Here is a 5,632-nt window from a genome sequence, read left to right as displayed (position 1 = left end):
AGAGGGTCCACCCAGCAGGAGTTATGGCCACACAGCCTCTGTCCGTACCTGGGCCTGGCAGGAAGGTGCCAGGAAAATAAACCTCCATCCCCCTGCCCTCCCCTTCCACAGTCCCGTGGGAAGCCAGAGGGCACAGGGCCGGCCCTGCTGCAGACCTCAGCGTTCAGCCTGCTTGGCCACCTGGGGCAGAGAGCAGGGGCAAAGTCAGAGATGGGGCCCGGAGGGCATGTGGAGAAAACTCAGCCCAGGAGGGAATGGCTCGAAGAACTAAGACCGGAAACGGGTTGTCTGTGGGGAGAACTGGGGGAGGGAGCATGGTGGGTAGGGGACTGTGCTTCTCAGTGGCACCCTACAGGGGCTGTTTTAATAAAAAATTCAGTAACAACCAAAACAAAACCACCCCACCACTCACTTCTCTTTTACTCAGAAACTGGCTCCATTTGTGTAGTTTTATGACTTCTTAGAGTTGGAACAGGAAAAATACAGCATTCTTGGTCATTCTCACTAATGTCCTGGGGGGTGTTCCCTTCTCTTGCAGCCCCCCAAGGTGCGGGGGTGCCTCAGCACCACAGTGTTCTGTTCAAGTTCTTACAGGCCACAGAGGACGCCCGGCTGAGAAAGGGTTCAGAGGAGCCTAGCTAGAGTTTGGCCAAAAGAGGGCCTTTGTCACCGCCTAGCATCAGTGTATCATAGTCGTGAACAGCCAGGAGGGACCTCCGTTCACAGCCCCCCACTTTCCAGCTGAGTGACCCCGGGAAAACCTCATAATCTTCCATGTTAGCTTCCTAGGGCTTCTGTCCAAGGACCACAAACCAGGTGGCTTCAAGCAACAGATATATATTCTCTCACAGTGATGGACGCCAGAATCTGAAATCAAGGTGGGTGATATGGTTTGGCTGTGTCCTCACTCAAACCTTGTCTTGAATTGTAGCTCCCATCATTCCCATGTGTTGTGGGAGGAACCTGGTGGGAGACAACTGAATCATGGGGGAGGTCTCTCCTGTGCTGTTCTCACGATAGTGAACAAGTCTCATGAGATCTGATGGTTTTATAAGGGAGGGTTTCCCTGCATGAAATCTCTTTGTCTGCTGCCATCCATGTAAGATGTGACTTGTTCCTCCTTGCCTTCCACCATGATTGTGAGGCCTCCCCAGCCACATGGAACTGTGAGTCCATTAAACCTCTTTTTCTTCCCAGCATTGGCTGAGTCTTTATCAGCAGTGTGAAAATGGACTAATACAGTAGGGCAGGGTGGTTCCTTCTGGAAGCTCCAAGGGACAGTCTGCTCCATGCCACTCTTCTGGCTTCTGGCACTTACCGGCCACCCAGATGTCCCTTGGCTTGGGGCTGCGATATTCCACTCTCTGTCTTTCCACTGTGTCTGGGTCACAAATTTCCCCCTCCTTTCTCTTACAGGAATGCCAGTCATTGGGTTTAGGGCCTCCCTAAATTCAGGATGATCCCATCTGGAGATCCTTACCTCAATTCCATTGATAAAGACCTATTTCCAAATAAGTGCACGTTCACAGATACTGGGGTGTTCAGACTTGGACATGGATTTTTGGGGGCCACTATTCAATCCACTAAACCCTTGGAGCTGCAGCATGCTCCTCTGTCAGTGGGTGTGGTGGAGCCCCTGAGAGATGTGAGGATGGCAGCAGAGAAGCCCACGTGGTCCCCACCAGGAGTTGGCCGCAGCAATGGTGGAGTGGATGGCAGTGACTGGAGGGAGGGAGATGGGCCCAAGGAGGTGAGACCTTTCTTTTTCAGGTCCCCAGGCTGCTGGCACAATGAGGACAAGATTCCCCAGCCAAGCCTGTCATTCTCAGATGAGGGAGGACTGAGCAGGGCGAGGGTGGACCGGCAACCATCAAGGGTTAGTGGAAGGAGGGACTCTAGGCATAGGCTGTGCCCTGGGGGGATCTGGACAGGACTGTGACTGCTTTCCTAGGCCCATGGGACCAGCCTAGCCAGTGTCTCTCCTTGACCCTTCCCCTTATGCCTTTCAGCCTGTTCCTGTTTGCCCTAGGGCTTGGCGAGGCCTCTCCTGAGAGCTCCTTCAATGCGAAAGCCAGTGTTCTGGGAGGTTCACAGCTTTTCTCTCCTCCCAGCCTGGGACTGGGCTCCAAGCCGATGCTACCACTTCCCGCTGGGTGAGCTCCCTATGGCTCAGGGCTTCTGTCACAAAAGTGGGAATGAAAACACTTCCCTCACAGGGTGGGGTTGAAAATGATACCGTCCTGTATCCATGAAACTGCCTGGTGCAGGCTGGGCCACAGCAGGCAGTGGCCGATGTGTTCGAGATGGATCTTTGCACAGACAAAGGACCCCAGGACTTTTCCAGTTCAGAAACCTTGAAGCTCCTAAATCCCAAACTGCAGCTGTCCGCAGGCCCAGTGAACCTCGCTTCTCCCAGCAAGAGCTGGTCAGCAAGAGCTATCTCCAGCCTCGCTTGTTAAACTATTCGACTTGTTAAAAAAATTATGCAAGTATTATATGAAACACATTCTCTCTGTAAGAAAATAAAGCACTACAGAAGCATATAAAATCTAGAGTAAGAAATCCCTTTCCTGGCTGGGTGCAGTGGCTCACGCCTGTAATCCCAGCACTTTGGGAGGCCAAAGTGGGTGGATCACCTGACATCAGGAATTCCAGACCAGTCTAGCCAACATGGCAAAACCCTGTCTCTGCTAAAAATACAAAAAAATTAGCCGGGCGTGGTGGTGTGTGCCTATAGTCCCAGTTACTCAGGAGGCTGAGATAGGAGAATTGCTTGAACCTGGAAGGCAGAGGTTGCAGTGAGCCAAGATCGTGCCACTGCACTCCAGCCTGGGCTACAGAGCAAGAGTCAGTCTCAAAACAAAAATAAAAATAAAAAAAAAGAGAAATCCCCTTCCCCACCCACTATATTTTCACCTCAATCAGTCTCTCCTCCAGAGATAAGCATTGTCCAGAGAAGGATGGCTTCTATTACACACACACACATCTGTGGACAGACAGGGCCATACTTACTGCTCTGTAACTGGCTTCTTTCACATAACAGTGTGGTAGACATTCTGTTGCCGCATGTCAATCTATTTCATTGCATTTAACAACTAATTCACATTTTTTGCAGAATGTGTACACCGTACTTTATTAATTCCCCTATGATGGACATCTAGGTTATTTTTAATTCCCCACTCAAACAATGGTGCAATGCATATATCTGTGCGAGCATCTTTTTGCTTATGTGAGAGTATTTCTACTTGTCAGGTATCTTGGAATAACACTGTCCAGTGAAAGGCTGTTTGCATTATATGTGTGAATAAGCACCGATAAATTGCCCTTCCGAAAGACTAACCAGTTACCACTCTTTCCAAGTTGCGAGAGTGCATTTCCCCATGCCCATGTCAACACCCCACAATAGCAGTATTTTTCATTTTTGCCAGTTAAAAACTCTTTGTGGCATGAGTGACATTTCCCTGAGTATCCTACCATTGAGCATCTTTTCGTGGCTTCGGGCCATTCGTATTTACTCACTGTGGATTTTCTCTTTCCATCCTTGTCCGATCTTCTATTAGGTTCATTATTCATTTGGAAGTTTTGTCCCCTTTAGAAAAAAAAAGGGATCAGTGTACACATTGTTAAAAATTCAAATAAAACAAGATGGGTTTCGCCACATTGCCCAGGCTGGTCTCGAACTCCTGAGCTCAAGCAATCTGCCCACCTCTGCCTCCCAAAGTACTGACATTACAGGTGTGAGCTACTGAGCCCAGCCTAGTTCCTCAGTTTTAAAATGTGTTTTGCTACATGGTCGTTCATCTACGTGCTGAGTCGAGAGTAAAAAGGAGCCCTCCGCCCTGCCCGAGTTTGCTGCAACTGCCCAAAATCTCCACTGGCATATGGACACGGCACTGTCAGGGGCCTCTGAAAATGTTTTCATTTTAATTTATTTTAAAATCAGAAGGAAAGGCTGTGCACGGTGGCTCACACCTGTAATCCAAGCACTTTGAAAGGCCAAGGCGGGTGGATCACCTGAGGTCAGGAGTTCAAGACCAGCCTGGCCAACATGGTGAAACCCCATCTCTACTAAAATACAAAAATTTAGCCGGGTGTGTGGTGGCGCACACTTGTGGTCCCAGCTACTCAGGAGGCTGAGGCAGGAGAATCACTTGAACCTGGGAGGTGGAGGTTGCAGTGAGACAAGAGTGCATCACTGCACTCTGGCCTGACAACAGAGTGAGACTCTGTCTCCAAAAATTAAAATTAAAATCAACAAATAAAATAAAATCAAAAGGAAAAATAAATATAACCATAATGAACATATAATAATGTGTCCAGTCTGGATCACATTTGACTTTAGACAAGGCAGTTATAAAGTATCATTTGAAGTATTTTTTGATGGAGGTAAAAGTACTCAGGGCCTATGAAGCCACAACGCATGCAACCTGCCAGGGCCAGTCAGTTTCTACCTTCTTGGGAGCCATTCTAAAAATATTTTATGCAGAGTTGTTTCAAATATTTACATAGAATAAACTATTTTGCTTTTTTATTATGCTACATTTTAAATATATAGGAAAATGAAGGAAATGATATAACTAATACTTCCGAACCCAATACCCAGATTAATAGTAAATAAATTTTACCATATTTGCTTCAGAGCTCTGTTTTGCTTAATAAGAAAGGAAAGAGAATGTGATGTAAAAAGCTAACCCCAACCATTAGTTTGTCCTCTCTTTCCCGCATGATCCTGAAATTGCAGTGGGTCGCTCACTGCATGAGCATGTTTGCATGGATCATAAACCCTGTGCTGGATCCAGTAGTCCCTGGCAGCTTAGCAGGGCTTGACAGAGTGGACCACTCCATCTTCCTTGGGATAACCCCTTGCCTTGCTCCCAGGCCTCCAACCTGCCTGGATTTCCTCCTACTTCCCTGGCCACCCCTTCTCAGCCCCTCTCACTTATTACCCCTCATCTTCTGGATGGCTTACTCGTGGAGGACCCAATACTCAGTCATGCTCATCTCTGTCTAGCCTCTCTCGGTGATCTCATCCAGTCTATGGGTTTAAATAGCATTTACATGCTGACTGATATAGTATGGAGTTGTGCCCCTGCCCAAATCTCATGTTGAAATGTAATCCTCAGTGTTGAAAGTGGGGCCTGGTGGGAGGTGATTGGCTCATGGGGGTGGGTTTCTCTTGAATGTTGAAAGTGGGGCTTGGTGGGAGGTGATTGGCTCATGGGGGTGGGTTTCTCTTGGTTTAGTACCATCCCCTTGGTGCTGTCCCCATGATAGTGAGTGAATTCTTGTGAGATCTAGTTGTTTAAAAGTGTGTGAAACCCCCTCCCTCTCTATCTTGCTCCTGTTTTCGCCATGTGATGTGCAAGCTCCAGCTTTGCCTTCTGCCATGATTAGAAGCTTCTAGAGGCCTCCCCAGAAGCAGACGCTGGTGCTATGCTTCCTGTACAACCTGTAGAACTGTGAGCCAATGAAACCTCTTTTCTTTATAAATTACCCTGTCTCAGGTATTCCTTTATAGCAATGCAAGAATGGCCTAATACACTGACTGACATCCAAGTTAATGTCTCTAGCCCAATTTTCTCACCTAATTTCAAACCCGTATACCCAACTACCTATTGGACGTACCCTGCTG

Source organism: Homo sapiens, chromosome 2 (assembly GCF_000001405.40).
Source record: "Homo sapiens chromosome 2, GRCh38.p14 Primary Assembly".
Lineage (NCBI taxonomy): Eukaryota > Metazoa > Chordata > Mammalia > Primates > Hominidae > Homo > Homo sapiens.
This window is presented reverse-complemented; position numbering follows the sequence as displayed.